Genomic DNA, 19,697 nt, shown 5'->3' with positions numbered 1-19,697 from the left:
AAGACCTTTCAAAGTAAGGGATGTGTTCCCTAATTGAAGAGAGCCACCCCATCAGCCACCTCGTCTACAAAGAGGTCTTTCTTTCTTTCCTTCTTTCTTTTTTTTTTTTTTTTTTTTTTTTTTTTGACATAGGGTCTTGCTCTGTCACCCAGGCTGGAGTGCAGTGGCGTGATCATGGCTCACTGCAGCCTCAATCTCTGGGACTGAAGCAATCCTCCTGCCTCAGCCTCCCAAATAGCTAGCACTACAGGCACGTGCCACCACACCCAGCTAATTTTTTATTTTTTGTAGAGATGGGGGTCTCGTTATGTTGCCCAGGCTGGTCTCGAATTCCTGGGCTCAAGTGATCCTCTCACCTTAGCTTCCCAAAGTGCTGGGATTACAGGCATAAGCCACTGCGCCCGGCCTACAAAGAGGTCTTTAAAGTGAAATATGAAAAGCATCATGGTCTTGTTTGCATACTTAGAGATGTTCCCACTTTCTCTTCGTGAGTGGATGTCCAGTTTACTTTTGCAGCAAAGGGGTTGCAGTTAAAAGTTGAGCAATGATTTGATTATCACTGAACCTTTGCAAGGCCATTAGCACCAGCAAGCTTAAGTTACTTCAAGAGAAAGACACTTCATAGTTGAAGTACACTTGCCTTGCTTTTGTTTTTTCTGGGCCCACATCTCCAGTGATTTCAGCTCACTCCATTGAGCTTTACAATTCAAACTTCCCAAAAGCCCCTTTAATTAGTAACAGGTGGTTCAAGAGTACCCTCGTACTACACATCTTTGTATTACTTATTCCATCGTTATTTGTCATGGTTCATGATACATTTCTTATTTACCTGCTTGTAGCAGCAGTTTTGCCTGGAAGGATGAAGTCTGTTGTGGTCTTTCAGAAATGCACAAGTGGTTACATGCATCATGAAAATTAATAGCTCCTATGCCAAAGAGAGTTGCATTCTCATGGTTTCAGTTAACACTGACATAATGGGACTATGTCTACACCTACACCCCACCCCAAACTACAGAAGCTATAATTAGAAATCAGTGCCTCACCATTGGGATGTCTAAATGACTGTCCTGCCTTGAAAACAATTTTCATTGCTCCCTCTTTATTTCTATTTGCCTTAGTTTTGCATCTCCCCACCTCCCAGGTTAAGGGGATGTAAGCAGTTGTGCCTTCCCCGTGTTGCATTCTTCTGGACATCATTCTCAGAATTAACTGTGGGAAACCAAGAAGCCTACAAGAGTACTAAACAAACTATTTTACCACTTCCCAAAATCATTATAAATACAAATTTAAAAAATAGTCAATACAAAAAGCTTTTAAGAAGCAAAGTGTAGACACATATTCAACTCTCAATATTCTTTTTCACTCACAATATTAAAATCTAGAATTGCAAAGAGGAAGATGGGACTCAAGCTATGGAGTGGGGAAGGGGTGAGGATGGTAGGAGTACAGGAGGTGTCAAATTGAATACATTGAGTTTACATACTCACAAAACAAAAATAGAGCCCTTTTCAAGGGGGTTGACTTATAAGTGTTAACTGAGTCTAATCATTTGAAACAAAGACAAGACACATTTCAAGTATTTATGAAGCTTCAATTTTATCTACAACATCTCCAGAAATATTCCTGACTGAATATTTTGTTATGCTTTTTAGATTTTGTTATTAGAGGAATCATTAGGAACTTCTCATCCTCCTTTCTTTGTGTATATGCATTGAATTCAAAACTGGTTAGGAAATTGTTGAAGAAACTCATCACATCCCATGGCAAGTGTGGGTTCCCTATCACTCTTACCGTAATTCTGGGAATAGTTCTGTTATTTCTATTGGGTGCTTTTGTTACCAAGCAACAGATAAAATCTAGACCTTTTCTGCTTGCTTGCTACTATTGGCTGTGCAAAAAACAAAAACAAAAAAATAGTGCAATGAATGTATGTTAGGAGGTGAAATAAACTAAAAGGAAATGCATTTCTAGCTTCAGTACAGCGTGTTGACTGTCATCACTGTGTAATGTGGCTTAAGGCTCGTTCTGAATTACTGAAATGAAATCCAGGCTGTGTGAAGAGTTCTGTTCCAGCATTTTTTTTTTCAGGCTGCTTGCAGTAGTTTTTAATGTGGTGTTTGGAAAATGCAGGTTATTGGGTAGAAAGTCTCAATGTATATGAAAAGAGTCTTTGCAGAAAAGGCTTTTTATAGCAGATATGGCATGCAGATGTCATGATAAATGTATATATCCTGAGGAAGGCAGGAATGAGTATTTTTAAAAGAGTTTTAATAAGTTGAGAAGGAAATGAGGCATCTTCCCCCCCACATACACACTGACTTTTATCATGAAACATAGATTGGCTCCTAAAATCTTAAATTTTAAGGTACCTCCTACAGTTACCTTATCATTAAGAAAGACCTCTGTCAGTCTTGAAGGATTTTATAGGCTTGGAAATTTGGTATCAATGTATTGTCATTATGGGTCAATAACTCAGATTGATTTTGATATATGAGTTAATATGGAAGTACTCAGTCCAGATGATATTCCCTTTCTATCATACCACCCCACAAAAGCAAATGAAGCAAACCTAATTCTTATGTAAATAATGTAGAAATCTTTTTATTTTTATGCACATTACGTACCGTTTTATAGTAGGAATTGATCATCTCTGCTACATTAGTATAGTTCTTTCAAAACATTAAAATTGGTAAAATATGTAATTGTTTTCTGGTTGGTTTTGTTCAAGTGAACTTTTTTCTCTTCACATCCAGCAGTGTTTTCTTGAGCCTTTGAATTCTTTGTGAGCAGGGACTGATGAGTAATACACATATATTCATATCATTTTTCTCACCTGCGGCACCTTGAATAGTTCTAAATACATAGCACTGGCTCAGTAAGTCATTATTGTTTTACTAAACAATGTTATCTCATCCAAGTATCTAGTGAGATATTGCTCCATGTAGAACAGTTGCATCCTAAATTACCCTCCAACATAAAAATTGATTCATTTGGTCAATAAACATTGAAAACTGAAAATTGTCACTAGAAAACATCCAGCTCCATAGTGGAGTGTACATTGTACATGGAGATACTGTACTAGTTCTAGGAGCTCTGGTGAAAGGATTAGGCTTATGTACTGCCATCAAGGTTCCTATAGTCTGTTACTCAAAAGAAGCCATTTAGGTACATAGCATGGAAGTCAAGTACACCTACTCTGGAACCAAATTGCCTAGATTCAAATCCTGGTTTGGCCATTTACTGGAAGACCTTGTGTGAGTCCCTTAATCTCTTTGGGGCTCCACTTCCTCATCTGTGAAATGAGATAATACTCATGTTATGTGATTATTTTGAGGCTTAAATGAGTTAATACATGTAGAGTACTGAGAATAGAACCTGGCACATACTAAATACTGTGTAAATGTATCATAGAAACCAATAAAATCCAGTAAAATCTATCAGTAGTAACTCTGCCATAGAACAGAAAAATTTTCTCTTGAATCTTGACATCAAAACCCTCATGACCACGAAACCATAAAAGCTAAATAAGCATTTTCTTTAAGAGATCATTAAACCATTCTTTTTATTTAAAGGGGGAAGGGAGGAGTGTACAGTTTTTCTTTTCCCATTTCTTCATATGATTTTAATAAATAACTATTAAATCATTAAGAGAGGTCTGAAAAATGTGACTTTCGTAAAAAGTAGTCATAACTCCTACCCCTGCTCTTACCCCAGCCCCAAGGATTCTGGAACTTACTAATATCTAGGCTCAACCAACCCTTCTAAATAAAAGAAAAAAACATATCAAATGTTAGTCAAGAGCTGTGCCCCAAGGTAGCAATCAAATTGAACAATTTAAGTGGCACACCATGCCATGCCATGGAGAATAAATACATAACTGAAGATTAAAGGAAGACCTTTTCGTTAATCCCTGTGTGGCATGATCTACTGCTTGGTTTTGGGTCTTACGGAATAAATCTACTTCAGCAAATAAGTTTTGGAAGACTCAAAAGAAGTAATTGATTTTGAGGGTTACCAGGGAGTAGAATGTTGAATGAACTTGAATTTCTATTCAAAATGAATAAAGCCCCAGAACAAAGTCTGACTTAGTCCACTGTTATGTTTGCTTAAGGGTGAGAGATTTGCCCCTAATAGTGTGGAGAGACCATTGAGAGCTAATGAAAGAGCCCCCAGCAGTGCCTGGTATATTACCATGTGACAGTAAGTGCCACCACTGGATCCAGAAGATCTTGGACTTTCACCAGAAGCTCCACGAGAGAACTTAAATTAAAGTTGCAGATTGAACATGCCAAATCTGAAAATTTAAGATCCGAAATGCTCTAAATCTGAAACTTTTTGAATACCAACCTGATGCTTAAAGAAATGCTCACTGGAGCATTTCAGATTTTGGGTGTTCGGTTTAGGGATGCTCAAACCATAATTATAATGCAAATATTCCAAAATCCAAAAAAAAAAAAAAACCCAAACACTTCTTGTCCCAAGCACTTTTGATAAAGGCTACTCAACATGTGCCATATACTGTGTAGCTTTTTCTTCCATGGTGGTGGCATACTTTTGGCTCTTAAAGACTCCAAAAGAGAGGCAACCATTTTGTTTACTCACTAGGGTAGTCCAGAGTCCTTGACACTCTGGGCTCACTGTTCTGAGCCTGGGCAGGTCGACAAGGGTGGGGACCAAAGGCCTGGGCAGTGCTAGCATTATTGCTGTTTCTTCTAGGGGGATGAGACTTTGCAGGGGAGACCTGTTTCTTTAGGTCTCGTGACTGTTTTAAAACTCTTCCCTTTATATTAGGGCCTCATCCCACTAAAACGGATTTGCTTCCCAGATTCTGAATTCCCTTCATGTGAAATAGTGCATGGTGGTCTGACTAGTGGTTATGAGACAAAAGACAGATTTTTTTTCCTAACTTTGATATTTTATATGTCCTTTCTCTTTCCATTTTTCTTATAACTTCCTCATCTCTCTTTTCAGTTCTGGTATTATTTAGTGTTTCCCTAGCATGTTGTAGCTGAGTTGCCTGTGACCATTTTTAGTAGTTACACAACAAATCATGTACAGAGCATGAGCCAGCACTTAGCCAAATAATGAAATGGAAGAACTCTGCCAAACTCAGCATCATAATTTCCCTTAATAAAACTCTACTGTGTCATTTAGTTTGGTCTCTTTTTAAAACTTGAGCCTCCATCAGCCTATTTTAGGGGAGGGTACTACAAGGTCTGTTGCATAAATGATTTGACTTGCAATTGAACTAAGAATACAATGAACCACTTCCTAGAGTTATTTTTTAAAAGAATGAGAAAGGACTTCTTTGAAAAAAGAAGTGTTTTCTGAATATAACTATTTTGGGTCTAAAATTTTTGCTCATTTCCTAAAGTCCTGTACCACATTGGAATTGCTTTGTATTTTGTAGAACAGGTTTTGTATTCTAATATAGAAATTCTTAACTTGCCTTGTTACCTAAATTCAAATGCATTCCAGAATAATCCCTGGCACATAGTAGGTGCTCAGTAACTATTTGTTGACCCCTTAGCTTTCTACGTTTCTTCTTACGAGGGCATTGTCTCCTCTTAAGCATAATATTCAACAAATGCCACGTGCTATTCAGTGATTTTTCATTTCATAGCCACTTGCATAACTTTTACCTCTTTAAAATCTAGCCATTTTGCAGTCTCATCAATGTGGAACCCAACTAAAACTAAAGTAGGAAATAACCAGTGCCTAAGATTACAGTTTCCTGTCATCTGGCAGGGAAACGTGATACATCTGGGAAATCTTTTCATCACAAATGCTTGATAAGGTATAGTACTGGAATCCGATGTTGTGAGGTGACTGTCAGCAAGTTGCTTAATCTCTTTGGCTTTGGCTTGGTTTTTCTTATCTATCAAATGTGAGAGCAACACTCAGTGATCTCTCTGGTCCCTTCCAACTCTAAGACTTCTGTGATCCTATGCTTCTCAGGCCACCTCCCCCCTCCAGTCCTGTTTGCTCCTTTACAAAAGGAGAGGGGGACATGTAGGGAAGTCTTAACAATCTGTGACTTTAAAGGAATGAACTTTCAGCTGTCCAGCAAATCTGGCTATCCAGAAAAGGCCATTCCTCCAGGGTATATTGGTTAGCCAAAATTTTACTGTACATTAATACATAGTTAGGACTAATTTAGTGCCTAGGAAAACATTTGGGAATGGTTAAAACTGTGGAAAAATCTTAATTCTTGGTAGGGCAGTGTATACAATTACCATTTTATTGTTACACGTATTCCCCCCTTTTAGGCTAGAGCCTTGTTTGGGATGAGGGGAATGGATGTGCACATGCATCACGTAGGAGCCTGACTGTTTTTTTTCTCCTGACACCACTAATCCCCTGTTCCTGTTCCTAAGGGCACTGCTGATAAGTGATATCCAAAGTAACACTCCAGAGCAGGTGAAGTGCATTGCCGGGCTGCCCTGCATCCCAGCATCTCTTCCCTGTGGTGGTATCTGCCTCCAAAAGTCTGTGTTAGCAGAACTGGTGGGTACTTACACAGAAGAATGCACTAATCCTCTGATACTGACTCCAAAAGAGGAGGGTGGGGCAGAGAGAAAGAGGAGACAGGAACTTTTAATTAGCTGCTAGAATGCTATACCTAGCCCCAATCCTTTCTAAGCATTGAGGAAAACAAGTGACCGGATGGAATCAGCTCTTCTACACCCCAAATAATTTCACTTTATAAAACTAGATGAAATGAAGTCCCATTTCTCTGGAGAGGACAGCCAGCCCAATCTGACTTGGGTAATGTTTCTGTCTTTCTTCCTTTCCTTCCTCACAAACTTCCAGTCATAGCCCCATGTGTCCTGCCATATGGTGTCCCTGTTTGTTTGTTTCTCCTTTCTTCCTTTCTTTCTTTTTCTTTCTTCCTTTCCTTTCCTTTCCTTCTTCCTTTCTTCCTTTCTTTCTTTCTTTTGAGACAGAGTCTCACTCTGTCACACAGGCTGGAGTGTAGTGGTGAGATCTCGGCTCGCTGCAACCTCCGTCTCCCAGGTTCAAGCAATTCTTCTGCCTCAGCCTCCTGAGTAGCTGGGACTACAGGCACACACCACCATGCCCGGCTAATTTTTGTATTTTTAGTAGAAACGGGGTTTCACCATGCTGGCAAGGCTGGTCTCGAACTCCTGACCTTGTGATCCGCCCACTTCGGCCTCCCAAAATGCTGAGATTACAGGCGTGAGCCACCGTGCCTGGCAACTGGTATCCCAGTTTCTGCCTGATGTTTAAGCCCCTCTAAATTCTGGCCACACGCATACTCCTGTGCACCTGACCTTATTTCCCGCAATTCCCCAACCCCATTCTGAGATGCAGTGACATGTCCTGTACTCTCCTACAGGTTTTGTTCATTTCATTGAACTTAACTCAGGATGCTCTCCCTTTGTTTGACCACTTAAGTCCAGCCCCTTTCTCGAAAATTTAACCAAAGCCCCACCTCTTTCATCAAGTGTTCTGTGAACACTCTGTGCTTTAGTACTCCCAAGCCTTGGAAAACCTTCACACACCCCCTAAGTTTAAGATTACTCATATTCTGCCTTGTAGAATATATTAACTTTGCCTTCTGCACAGCTCTTGGCACAGAACAGAAGACACCGTAGGTACCCTTCTAAACCTTAATTTGGGGTTAGGGTTCAAAGGACAGCCTTGTAGTCAATGTAATGCAGAAGAAGATGTGCTTCTGTTCCAGTCTGGCAAAGACAAACACTGATGGTTGAGGCTATTAGCAGGACGTGCATGGTGGGCACATGAAGATAGTCTCCTCCACTGCATCTCATGGCTCACCCTGCATAGTTATTTGTAAAAGGATTTTGAGATAATTGAGCAATTTATGTGTGTGTGAGAGAGAGACTCCAGGAGGGAAGGGGGTGGGGGAGGAATGGGTGTTTACAGGGTGGGAGTTGGTGCACCTTGTTTGTTTTGGGTCATCTCCCTCCTCTCCCCTGTCCCAACATGTATCTTTTATCTAATCTATGTCTTCAGGAGGCAGTCCAGGCTTACTAATTGTGATCAATCACAACTCATTCTTAAGTTCATGGCCAAGCCTTCAGTGTCAATGTGATAGAAGCAATTTCTGTCTCTATTTTAGCCCCGCCACTACTGTCTTTTTTTCTTTTCACACATTAGGTAAACCCCACAGCCCAGTGTACCCATGCCCTGTTGAAGATGATCTACTGCTCCCACTGCCGGGGTCTCGTGACTGTGAAGCCATGTTACAACTACTGCTCAAACATCATGAGAGGCTGTTTGGCCAACCAAGGGGATCTCGATTTTGAATGGAACAATTTCATAGGTGAGCAAGTGGTTAACATATTTGTGTTGCTGGAGATAGCTTAGCTTCCAGTCACAAGGAATGTTGTAATTGGCAGCTATGAAATTTGTTTGTTTAAGTGTTTGCTATTTAGTGTTTGTCAGAATCCTGACTACGCTCAACTACTTTGAGAATAGTAAAAACATTACTGCAAGTGAATGTTCCCTCAAACTAATGGTGGCATTTCTGAAGGTAATAGATACAGTGGCTGCCAGGTTTTAATAATGAGAAAATGCCTTTTTCTTGGAGACAGAGTCTCTTTCTGTCACCTAGGCTGGAGTATAGCAGCACAATCATAGCTCTGTGTAACCTGAAACTCCTGGGTTCAAGCGATCCTCTCACCCTCAGCCCCCCAAAAGCCCTGGGATTATAGGCATGAGCCACTCACTGAGAAAGTGTCTTTTTGATATTTCCCGCCTGAAAGTCAGTTGTGTTTATGATTATAGGCTTGTATCCATGTAAATGCTGGAGTACAGTCCTCATGGAGTTGTAAAAGTGGCTTTTAAAATGTTATATCTATTACACTGCAACTAAATCTTCTGCAAACCGGCCAGATACGCATTTGTTATTTGGATCAGGTGAAATCTGATTGAGAAATTCAGGGATTCTGTTTCTGTACACCATTTAGCAGTAGTAGTCTGCTCTGGTGAGAGTGGAAGGACTTTAGCCCTGAGAATTTAAGGGATACATATTCCTGCATATATATTCCACCTAGAAAACCATTCTCAGAACCCAGACAGCAATGTAAATGAAGTGGCCAATTGCAGAGAGGGTTAGTTATGATTTTGGGGAAAGGACAAATTAAGGAGAATTTAAATGTCCAGTTGTCAATTACCTTGATGCCTGAAGCAACAGTAACCAGTGTTGAAGTTCCTTATGCTGAGTATTAGTAGGACCGCACACACATACTAACAGCTCACAAAAAGAAACTCACATTTTTCCCCACCCTAGTCACCTTTGCATAATTGCCGAATTTGAGTGTCTTTATAAGCACCTGTTTTTCACTTATTTGTCCAAATCATGGGAACATGTATGCAGTATTCTGGCTTGGTTTTTTGGGGGGAGGTGAGGGGTGTTAATGTTGGGGAATGCTTTTTAGTCTGTGTGAGAGCTAATTACCATATTAACTCCGTTTGAAAGTGCATCAATAAATTGGCTCCAACAGATTCTTAAGAACACTGACACAGGGGGATAAAAAAAGATGTGAATATTAAGCACTTCAGCACAATTGTAGCCTAAATAGCTCAAAGCTAGAAGACCTGAAAAAATCTTCTACACACAGAAAAGCAGAATCTCATGAAAGGGAAGGCATAAGACCAGCAAAGACATACAGGCCAAATGGCACATCATGCCCAGAATGAAGCCATGGGAGAAATTGTTGATTCAAAATATTTCTCATGGAAGTAAAAACCCATAGAATTTCCAGATCTAAAGTCGCTGTTTTTGTTTTCTCTCTCTCTCTTTAATCCCACACTCATCCCCACACCCAAATGTCAAGTTTGCAGTTCACTTTTGCAAAATTGAATTTTTAAAGAAAGTTGGTGATCCTTTTCAATTGCCCCTATAATTCACTGTTTCTCCAGGCAAGGTAGTAGAATTTGCCATATGGTACAAAAAAGTGTATGGTGACAGTGATCGAATTCTGCTGACTTTTCTACAGACACATTGGGAATGGAATGCAGAAGGGCATGGCCCTTGCCACTATTTTGATACTCTAACATGTCTAGCAGCAACTATAACTAAACTCATATCCTTATATTAAAATACAAATGCTCCTACGTGTTTTTCCTGGAGTTTACAGGTCCATATCAAATCAAAACCACACTCTGGCTTTCTTTATTGATGTTTTAAATCAGTTACTCGAAAACAAAGAGGACTTAAGTTGCTGTTGTTGTTCTTGTTGGGCATTTTTAAAATTACATTTGTTATCTTTGAAGAAACAAACCCAAGTAGAAGTTGATAGGATTTCTGAATCGATTTTTCCCTAGTTATTTTAAGTGATAACTTTTTGGAGGGATGAGGTATATAATTGTATCTAAACTTTGTTTTTAATGGGTATACTATTCTTTATTTCTAATAAGCAGATATAAAAGACCAGGAGTAATAGACATTGTTAATCTCCAGTGCTTTTTCATGAATTTTTCACAAGGGTTTAATTAATCTGCTTTGTGGTTGTAGAATTCAGTCCCAATTTACATGCCTCTGCTGTAAATTCTTTTTTTATTTCTTGTCTCTCTCTCTTTTTTTTTTTTTCTGTTTGCAAGGAATTTTTCTTTCCCCTTTAAATGACTGCAGCTAATGAATGGTCAAGGGCTTTTTCCCCCTTCTTTAAATCAGATCTTGGGGTTAAGTCGGGAAACTGCCTTTTGTTCTTCCAGTCAGGTCGGGAGGCTGAAGATGTGGGTTTCTGATTATTGGCAGCACAATGCAAAAGGAATCGCTTTCCCTAGTGAGAAGGGGATGCTTTGTTGCTGGGGGTATGGGGGGAAACTCAGTGCCAGTGTCTTGAGCACTGAAATAATGCAGTTGGACTAGACCCTTTAAGAGACTAAGGATGAACTGGTTTTCCAAATCCGTCTTCTTGTTGCCATGCTCTTCCTCTCCTCTCTTAACTGCATCTGCAACTGGCCATGAATTGAGACCCTTTAGTAAATGTTGAAGTCTTGTCAGCCTTTTATCAGGATGGATCCAAATAGTTAAAACACCTTAGAACTTGGTTTTATAAGACGCTGGTTTATATGAAACCTTCACTTGGAAATATAAACCAAATACCTCCCTTGCCCCCACCAACAAAAGTCAGTTTCTGGAGAATCATAAATTATGCTATGCAACTTGTTCTCCATCACATACTGTAGCTGTGTTAACACTCATTTGACTCAGGGCCAACCCTATTAATGTCGCATGTTGCTGCCAGTGGGAATTTAGTATTGGGATTGCTGGCGGGGACACCAGCCAGGTCCTGGCAGGAGGCAGGAGCCAGTCAGATATCCCGCAAACAAGGGCCTCCGTGGCTCGTATCAGCCAGAAGAAAACCCAAACTCCAAACCAATCATCTTTGGCTTTCTCTTGAGGCTTCTTATCAGGGCTGGCTGCTGTTACAGAAGAGCCAATTGATAGCCAATCATGACTTCCTCCAGGGGTTAGAGGCAGCTTTGGCTCCCGGGCTGCAGAGTGCAGGCAGAATGCTCTTCAGTTGCATTCTTCAGCTGCGCAACACACAACACCATGGCACCGGCCCCAACAAAGGCCCAGCTTCCCCCTCCATTCCCAGGCTCTTGTGTATAGCCGGCTGGCTCAGAGTTTACAAAGACGCCAAACAGCCAGAAGAATTGGGGTTTATGTTTCCTTTCAGTCTTTCACAAACACATTAGTGATCTGGCCATTCCTTGCCACTAGGGGAATAAGGAGTTACAAAATGCACTGGGTTTTGTTGTTGTTGTTGTTGTTGTTATTTAAACGTCTGCATTTTAGATGTTTATTTTCTGTCTATTCATAATATTTTTATTGGGAGCAGGTGATTTCTTCTCAGCTTACGAAGGAATGTGCTTTCTGTACGTGGCAGCCCTGATGATTTGACAATGATGAACACATTTAAGTTGTGCTCCACTTGTTTACAAAAGTCTCCTTTTGCTAGCACATCAAAAGCATTTTTTTTCTCTCCTGTAGTACAATGGTATATTCATGCTTTCAGCCCTTACTTAGAGTTAGAAGCATCACTTGATTGGCGCTTACCACAATGCATTCTGAAACTTCATTTGTTATTACTGTTTTAAAAATTGCATTTCATGGAAATCTATTTGTGGTTTGTGACATCGGAATTGTAGTTTAGAGAAATGACCCCGTGCATTAAAATGTTGTGTAGCATTTGTTCTAGGTTGAAGGTGAAAGCTTGATGACTAGATTTGGTTTCATTGATATGCTGATGCCTATGCTGCTTTCCACTAGAAAGCTTAGATAGAAGCTCAGCTGGGGGCTGCAATTGTCAGCTGTGTTCTTTGGGTAGGACACAATCTTCCGGGAACTAGCTCTTCTTTCAAGTAACCATCCTTGCACTACCTGAAGATGATAGATAATGTGGGTCTAACTCCTTTCTTGCCATGCACTAAGCACTAGAGTGTAAAGGGGGGATAAACAAGTTTAAAAGTTCACTGTTTGTCGTTAATGAAGCATCCTTTTTGTCATTTGGGGTTTTCATTTCCAAGTTCTTCTAATTTTGTAAAACAGGTAGCAGGCAAAAATACTAAGCCTCATAATCCTAAGAAACATATATGGCAAGAAAACAAAGACAATGTATTTTATTGAAGCGATTCAGTGCTTACTGGAAAATGCCATGCTACTCCAGAGTCTAAAGCAGGATAATCGGTGAAGATATATACTGTGAGCCCACTAATTTTGTGTACTGTATCTTGTGTCATCTTCTCACTTGCAAAAAAAAGGAGGTACATGCCTTAAGATAAATTGAAGCCATTGTATTTGCAATGAGAAGTTTTTCTTAATACAAAAATTGGATTATTCAAAGTTTTAGTATTTGAAAAGTCATTAGAATTCCTAGGAACCCTTTCATTTGTATTATCCAACGGTGCACTCAAGGATCTGAGGGGTTTTGTTTTTAAAAACAAAAGAAAAGAATTAATATGCCAGCATCTTAACTGATTTATGTTTTTGACTCTTGTAAATGGAATGTGAAACGAGAAGATCCTAGGGAAGTCTCTGGGAGAGCTGGCATGTTATTTTGTCTCCAGCCTTAGGTTTGTCATCTGGGAGCTAACTAAGAGCCTTACAGTGACAGTGGCTGACACACGAATAATCAGTATTGAGGAAAGTTCCTGATTGGGTTTCCTTGCTGTAGAACTAAGCCTTCATCTGGCCATTTCACACTTTAGAGAGCTAGTGATACATAGTGACTAAATGCAGTTTGGTGTAAGGGAAATAGACATAAAAACAAGAATTCATTATGATCCATGCCTTACTTCCCCTGCCCCCATGCAGGAAACAGACAGAAAAAAAAATCAGATTGATTTACCCAAGGCCAAACTAATGATTGACTTTTTATGCTGTATTGTTCTTCCCCAAACCTCATATTAGATGCTATGCTGATGGTGGCAGAGAGGCTAGAGGGTCCTTTCAACATTGAATCGGTCATGGATCCCATCGATGTGAAGATTTCTGATGCTATTATGAACATGCAGGATAATAGTGTTCAAGTGTCTCAGAAGGTAATGAAGGCAGGATGCTGGAAAGGGGAGCTAGGGACCTCCCCCGCCTCCGCCTCCCGCCTTGGGAGTGACTTCCCTAACATGACGACACTTACTCTAATGCAGGTTTTCCAGGGATGTGGACCCCCCAAGCCCCTCCCAGCTGGACGAATTTCTCGTTCCATCTCTGAAAGTGCCTTCAGTGCTCGCTTCAGACCACATCACCCCGAGGAACGCCCAACCACAGCAGCTGGCACTAGTTTGGACCGACTGGTGAGCGTTTTGGCAGGAAGGGCCGTGTTTAATGACAAAGAACTGAAAACTCTTGCTCAAAATGAATTTTTAGCTGGAAGGCTAACAAGTGTGGGTCTTTCAGGTGTCACTTTTCAAGCAAATAGGATGTGGATGTCAGTCAATCTGCCTGTCCCATTTTCTAGCCCAGAAAGTTCTTGGGTAGCCAAGGAGTTATGATGCAATAAGTCTTGTCTCAAAATTTCTCTTTAGATTCACCATGCATTTATTGAACATCTACTATGTGCCCATCACTGTGCTAGGCATAGAGAAGCTCAGAGAAATAAGGCAGATCCTTGTTCTCAAAAGGCACCAACAAGGAGGCAAAGAGGGAGAAGTAGATGTTCCAGGCTTATTAACATAAAATGATGTTTAGTAAAAGCTGAGATGGGAGAAAAGTGAGTAACTGTAGGCAAATTGCTTTATCCACAGTAATATGCTACAAAAATGTAAGAAACTATTCCTACAGTAGTAGGAACACAGAAGAGGGAGCCTGAGGAGACAGGGATGGAGAGAAAGAGCAATAGCAGCTATGTTTCACAGAGTGCATAATATACATGCTTGATCCTGACTCTAAAAGCCTTAGGAGAAGAGACTGCATGTTATCTTTGTGCCTACAGGGCATGGAGACTGGTAGGCCTCAGATGGTACTTACAATGAGGTGGGCAAGGGGTCTAGGCCACTCCTTTGGAGCTTGCATTTCAACTATTATTTGAGTGGTTTTGTACTTCTAAGATATAAATTGGAGTTGCATCTTCCTCTTCTAATTAAAGTTGAAAATGAATTGCATATCACTCTGGAGATACTTTGGAAATGGCCAGAAGGCACACTTGTAGGTAGTTTTGTCTTGTCTTACAATGATCTTTTTTTGTTGTTGTTGTTTCATAATTAGGTTACTGATGTCAAGGAGAAACTGAAACAGGCCAAGAAATTCTGGTCCTCCCTTCCGAGCAACGTTTGCAACGATGAGAGGATGGCTGCAGGAAACGGCAATGAGGATGACTGTTGGAATGGGAAAGGCAAAAGCAGGTTAGTGTCTGTTGAATGAATTTGAAGTTTCTCCCTTCCTAGATGCCTGGGTGACCTTCAGAGAGGGTTCTCTCAATTGTCAACCGAGGCATCAGGAAGCAATTCACAGTAGGTAGCAACAACATGGAAGGCTTCTAGGTGTTCTTAGGAACAGGCTTTGCACTAGGAGTGTTGAGAAGGCACCCAGTTACTTACAAAGAGTGCTGAGTCAAAAGTTTGACAGTAGTTATAGTCTCGTATTAGGGCTGTTCCAATAGTGTCATTATTTTTAAAATATTTAATGCCTGTGGCTCTTTGTCCAATGGCCTAGCCTCATAAATAACCAGTTCTCAAAGGTTCCATTCTCTGACTTGATGCCCTGTGTCCCTCCCTTAGACGCTCAGTAACTTAGAGAAGTACCCATACTTTTTTTTGTTTGCTTGTTTGAGATGGAGTCTCGCTCTTTTGCCCAAGCTGGAGTGTAGTGGCACAATCTCGGCTCACTGCAACCTCCACCTCCCGGGTTCAAGTGATTCTCCTGCCTCAGTCTCCTGAGTAGCTAGGACTACAGGTGCCTGCCACCATGCCTGGCTAATTTTTTTTTTTTTGTATTTTTAGTAGTGACAGGGTTTCACCATGTTAGCCAGGATGGTCTTGATCTCCTGACCTTGTGATCCGCCTGCCTCAGCCTCCCAAAGTGCTGGGATTACAGGTGTGAGCCACCGCACCCAGCCAGTACCCATACTTCTTTACTTCAACCCACCATCCTCCTCAAGAGGGATAGCTAGCTTCCTTCCTTCCTTCCTTCCTTCCTTCCTTCCTTCCTTCCTTCCTTCCTTCCTCCAACAGAGTATCACTGTCACCCTGCTAGAATTCAGTGGCACAATCTTGGCTCATTGCAACCTCACTGCAATCTCAGCTGCTGGAATGCAGTGGTGCAACCTTGGCTCACTGCAACCTTCGCCTCCTGGGTTCAAGTGATTCTCCTGTGTCAGCTTCCTGAGTATCTGGGATTACAGGCACACACCACCACACCCGGCTCATTTTCATATTTTTAGTAGAGACAGGGTTTCGCTATGTTGGCCAGGTTGGTCTCGAATGCCTGACCTCAAGTGATCCACCCACCTTAGCCTCCAAAAGTGCTGTGATAGCTTTGAAGAAGGTTTCCATCAAATTGGAGAAATGAGGAATCCACAGGAACAAGAAAGATTAGAGTTCATTAGGAATTAAAGAACTTCCATCTAATTTTGCTTAGTGGAAATACTAGAATCTAGCAGAAGTATTTGATAACCTCTTGTATAATCTTCATAATCTTCACGCCTGTAATCCCAGCACTTTGGGAGGCAGACAGATAAAATCTTTTCGCTTTACGAATCATCTTACTGGGGTCATTTTACATTCCAGGTACCTGTTTGCAGTGACAGGAAATGGATTAGCCAACCAGGGCAACAACCCAGAGGTCCAGGTTGACACCAGCAAACCAGACATACTGATCCTTCGTCAAATCATGGCTCTTCGAGTGATGACCAGCAAGATGAAGAATGCATACAATGGGAACGACGTGGACTTCTTTGATATCAGTAAGCATTTGTGGTTTGAAAGTACGAATTGCTCTTGTATGTCTTCTGATGAGAACAAGTGGAATGAAATTTCTATTCCATTTTTTTTTAAACTAGGTGATGAAAGTAGTGGAGAAGGAAGTGGAAGTGGCTGTGAGTATCAGCAGTGCCCTTCAGAGTTTGACTACAATGCCACTGACCATGCTGGGAAGAGTGCCAATGAGAAAGCCGACAGTGCTGGTGTCCGTCCTGGGGCACAGGCCTACCTCCTCACTGTCTTCTGCATCTTGTTCCTGGTTATGCAGAGAGAGTGGAGATAATTCTCAAACTCTGAGAAAAAGTGTTCATCAAAAAGTTAAAAGGCACCAGTTATCACTTTTCTACCATCCTAGTGACTTTGCTTTTTAAATGAATGGACAACAATGTACAGTTTTTACTATGTGGCCACTGGTTTAAGAAGTGCTGACTTTGTTTTCTCATTCAGTTTTGGGAGGAAAAGGGACTGTGCATTGAGTTGGTTCCTGCTCCCCCAAACCATGTTAAACGTGGCTAACAGTGTAGGTACAGAACTATAGTTAGTTGTGCATTTGTGATTTTATCACTCTATTATTTGTTTGTATGTTTTTTTCTCATTTCGTTTGTGGGTTTTTTTTTCCAACTGTGATCTCGCCTTGTTTCTTACAAGCAAACCAGGGTCCCTTCTTGGCACGTAACATGTACGTATTTCTGAAATATTAAATAGCTGTACAGAAGCAGGTTTTATTTATCATGTTATCTTATTAAAAGAAAAAGCCCAAAAAGCAGTAAAATTTCCATTTCTCCCTGTTATTTTAGTTGCCTTATCTGGAGAGACGTGGAGGTGATTTTCTTTTTTTTAAATTATTATTAAGACAGAATGTGAGGGCACAAGCAGGCTTCTGAGCCACTTGTCAGATTGTATTCAAAGCATCAATCCAAGAAGGAGGTTATGTGTACTTCATTTATTGGTGATAGTTGGAAGAGACTGCAGACTACTGCTTTGAATGAGTTGAATTACATAAGCTAAGATCACTATAGGTCCATTTCTTGAACCCACTTATACATAAAATGTAACCCATTTAGAAAAAGATTCTGGATATCATCCCCCTTGAAAGATAGAAAGCATTCAGGATGTCCCAGTTATCACATGTTCACACTTGGGTTTAGGGGTGTTTTTTTTTAAAACCAGGCAGGTTAGCTAGCCCACCCTGTGCTAGTTTTCATGTTCACACTGACCCTATTTGAATTAATATCCTTTGTTAGAGTGGTCGAGATTTCAAACCCAATTATGTACAGGGAGCTGTCTGAGAGCTAGCCAGAACTGGGGTACAGCCTGGGCTCAGGGAATAGCTGTCAACACTCGGGCAAAGTTTTTGTCTGTGCATGTGTATCTCCATTTGTTTTGGGATCCCAGTTTTTGTTTTAAGAGAGTATAAGGTGTCTCATTTGAGTCTTTTTCTTACCTAGCCCCCTCTTATCAGTAAAACAAAGGACTTGCCATGGTTCACAGCAATGTGCTACGATCCAAGATATCAGCCAAGGAGCCCACTTAGGGGAGAACTAGGTGTCCAGATTTTTGTATGTGTTGTTTTTCTTGGGGGATGGGGTGGGGTGGGAGTAGGTAGAGCTGAGAATACTACATCTTAGTGGTGACCTTTAGCCACGTGGGTGAAGTGGCAAAGGCCATGGCCATATCTGTTGTCCCAGGCCAAAGACTAACAACTGCCTTGGGAATCCCTTCCTTGTGTCCTTACCAAATGATAGCTCATAAAACTCTGATAATGTAACAAATCACTTTCAAAGGAGTTCCCAGAAGTCTTCAGAAAGACTAAAATTCTGTCTCTTCCTGCTTTAGACAGCCATTAAGATCCCAACTAATTTTACCGAACCTAAAACCCACAAAGAGGTTGTTTGTGTTATTGTTCAATCTTCAGTTGTAAGAGTAATTCTCTATTTTTATATTGAAACATAATTACTTGATAGCTCAGGGTCTACATTTCATTCAACTTTTTACACCAAATTCTGCAGAGTGGTCAAAATGGAATATTGGGGGCTGTTGTAAACAGAGGCTTAATTTTATTAGAAGTAGCCAGTTATTTATTAAAGCATGATGTTAATAAAATAGGCATATTCTGGCTGGTGTGTATAAGTGGTTTTTTTTTTAAAACAAATCAGAAGACATAAAATTGAAAAGGCACTCCATTTATATATAAGGGAAAATAGATTGTAAATAGCTAAGGGGCCTTGTGAGAACTTGGAAAATGTGCTGATACTTAGTAACTACCTCAGTTGTGAGGAATTTCCTTTTTAGCTTAGACTGCTATTACTTTTACTTGGTAGAAATGAATCTGGTCTCCAAAATATGGCTCAGAGAGTTATCCCCATAGACCTTGTTAGATTGTTTTTAATTTAAAACCTTGAACTCTGCCCAGCTGTTTTCTTCCAGTCAAATTCTCTAAACCAATAACATTTTCCAAATTAAGTATTCTTGAAGGTTCTTCTGAACTCTTACTGATTTGTTTTCTTTCTTTGCATTTTTTCCTGTTACTCTTTTATTATTTAAATTGTCTCTTGCTTTTGAACTTCAACTATGAAATAAACAAATCATAGATTTTTCCATTCAGGTCTGACTGGATAACTCTTGGCTTCTAAGCAGCTGGCAAGCTCACCCCCACTCCCCAAAAAAGAAGAAAGGCAAGTTGAATATTTTAAAACCTTAAGAGTTTGGAGTATGAAGTAGAATAAAAGCCTTGTTAGGAGAAGACCTGACTTTTCCAAAGTTAACAGCATGTGAAGGGCTTGTGTTTTACAAAGTCATTTATAAATTATTTTTCTTTAAAACACATCACCTACTCTGTACCTTAAAGATTTTACAACTCTTAGATTTATATTTTATTTCAAAAATCGTAACTAGCACCTGTTATTTTGATTAAAAGACACTGCGAAGAATTGACGTAAATTTCTAAAGTTTAGTTACTGAGTGTTCAAAACCTAACAGTTCACATGAAGTAAAAATTGTCATTTGTGATTACAGAATCAAAATAAAAATAGGTATGAATGGTGCTACACAAATTTCTGCTTCCCCTTTGTTAGCAGAATATGTCTATTTACATAGCTAAAGGGTAGTAGGTTATTAGGTTAGTGCAAAAGTAACTGCAGTTTTTGCCATTACTTTCAATGGCAAAATACTAACAGTTATCTACTAGAGGAGGGTGTGTGTGTGTGTGTGTGCGTGTGCACGCACACGCGCATGCACATGTAATGTCACTGCTAAGCCAAATGTAACTTTCTACCTTT

The 19,697-nt window shown here is 40.2% G+C and overlaps 1 protein-coding gene across 1 annotated transcript in view, besides 3 other annotated features; it reads left to right on the top strand.

Moving 5' to 3' along the window:
* GPC4 (glypican 4) overlaps positions 1 to 19,466 on the top strand; it is a 115,387-nt gene extending 95,921 nt beyond the window's left edge. Inside the window, exons 4-9 of the mRNA NM_001448.3 lie at positions 8,146 to 8,311; positions 13,415 to 13,545; positions 13,651 to 13,797; positions 14,708 to 14,844; positions 16,228 to 16,403; positions 16,500 to 19,466. Of these exons, the coding sequence (NP_001439.2) occupies positions 8,146 to 8,311; positions 13,415 to 13,545; positions 13,651 to 13,797; positions 14,708 to 14,844; positions 16,228 to 16,403; positions 16,500 to 16,702 (960 nt within the window). The 3' untranslated portion in view covers positions 16,703 to 19,466. The remainder of the gene's footprint in view (positions 1 to 8,145; positions 8,312 to 13,414; positions 13,546 to 13,650; positions 13,798 to 14,707; positions 14,845 to 16,227; positions 16,404 to 16,499) is intronic.
* Positions 6,631 to 7,130: an enhancer, noted in NCBI's record as "H3K4me1 hESC enhancer chrX:132446467-132446966 (GRCh37/hg19 assembly coordinates)". NCBI's record gives its function as "activates a minimal SCP1, AML or CMV promoter by ChIP-STARR-seq in naive H9 embryonic stem cells {active_cell/tissue: H9 hESC(naive)}" and the evidence as "EXISTENCE:reporter gene assay evidence [ECO:0000049][PMID:30033119]".
* Positions 11,765 to 12,679: an enhancer, noted in NCBI's record as "OCT4-NANOG-H3K27ac-H3K4me1 hESC enhancer chrX:132440918-132441832 (GRCh37/hg19 assembly coordinates)". NCBI's record gives its function as "activates a minimal SCP1, AML or CMV promoter by ChIP-STARR-seq in naive and primed H9 embryonic stem cells {active_cell/tissue: H9 hESC(naive and primed)}" and the evidence as "EXISTENCE:reporter gene assay evidence [ECO:0000049][PMID:30033119]".
* Positions 13,693 to 14,193: an enhancer, noted in NCBI's record as "H3K4me1 hESC enhancer chrX:132439404-132439904 (GRCh37/hg19 assembly coordinates)". NCBI's record gives its function as "activates a minimal SCP1, AML or CMV promoter by ChIP-STARR-seq in primed H9 embryonic stem cells {active_cell/tissue: H9 hESC(primed)}" and the evidence as "EXISTENCE:reporter gene assay evidence [ECO:0000049][PMID:30033119]".

The sequence above is a fragment of the Homo sapiens genome, chromosome X (assembly GCF_000001405.40).
Source record: "Homo sapiens chromosome X, GRCh38.p14 Primary Assembly".
NCBI lineage: Eukaryota > Metazoa > Chordata > Mammalia > Primates > Hominidae > Homo > Homo sapiens.
The sequence above is the reverse complement of the archived record's forward strand: the minus strand, read 5'-3'. Positions and strand labels throughout refer to the sequence as shown.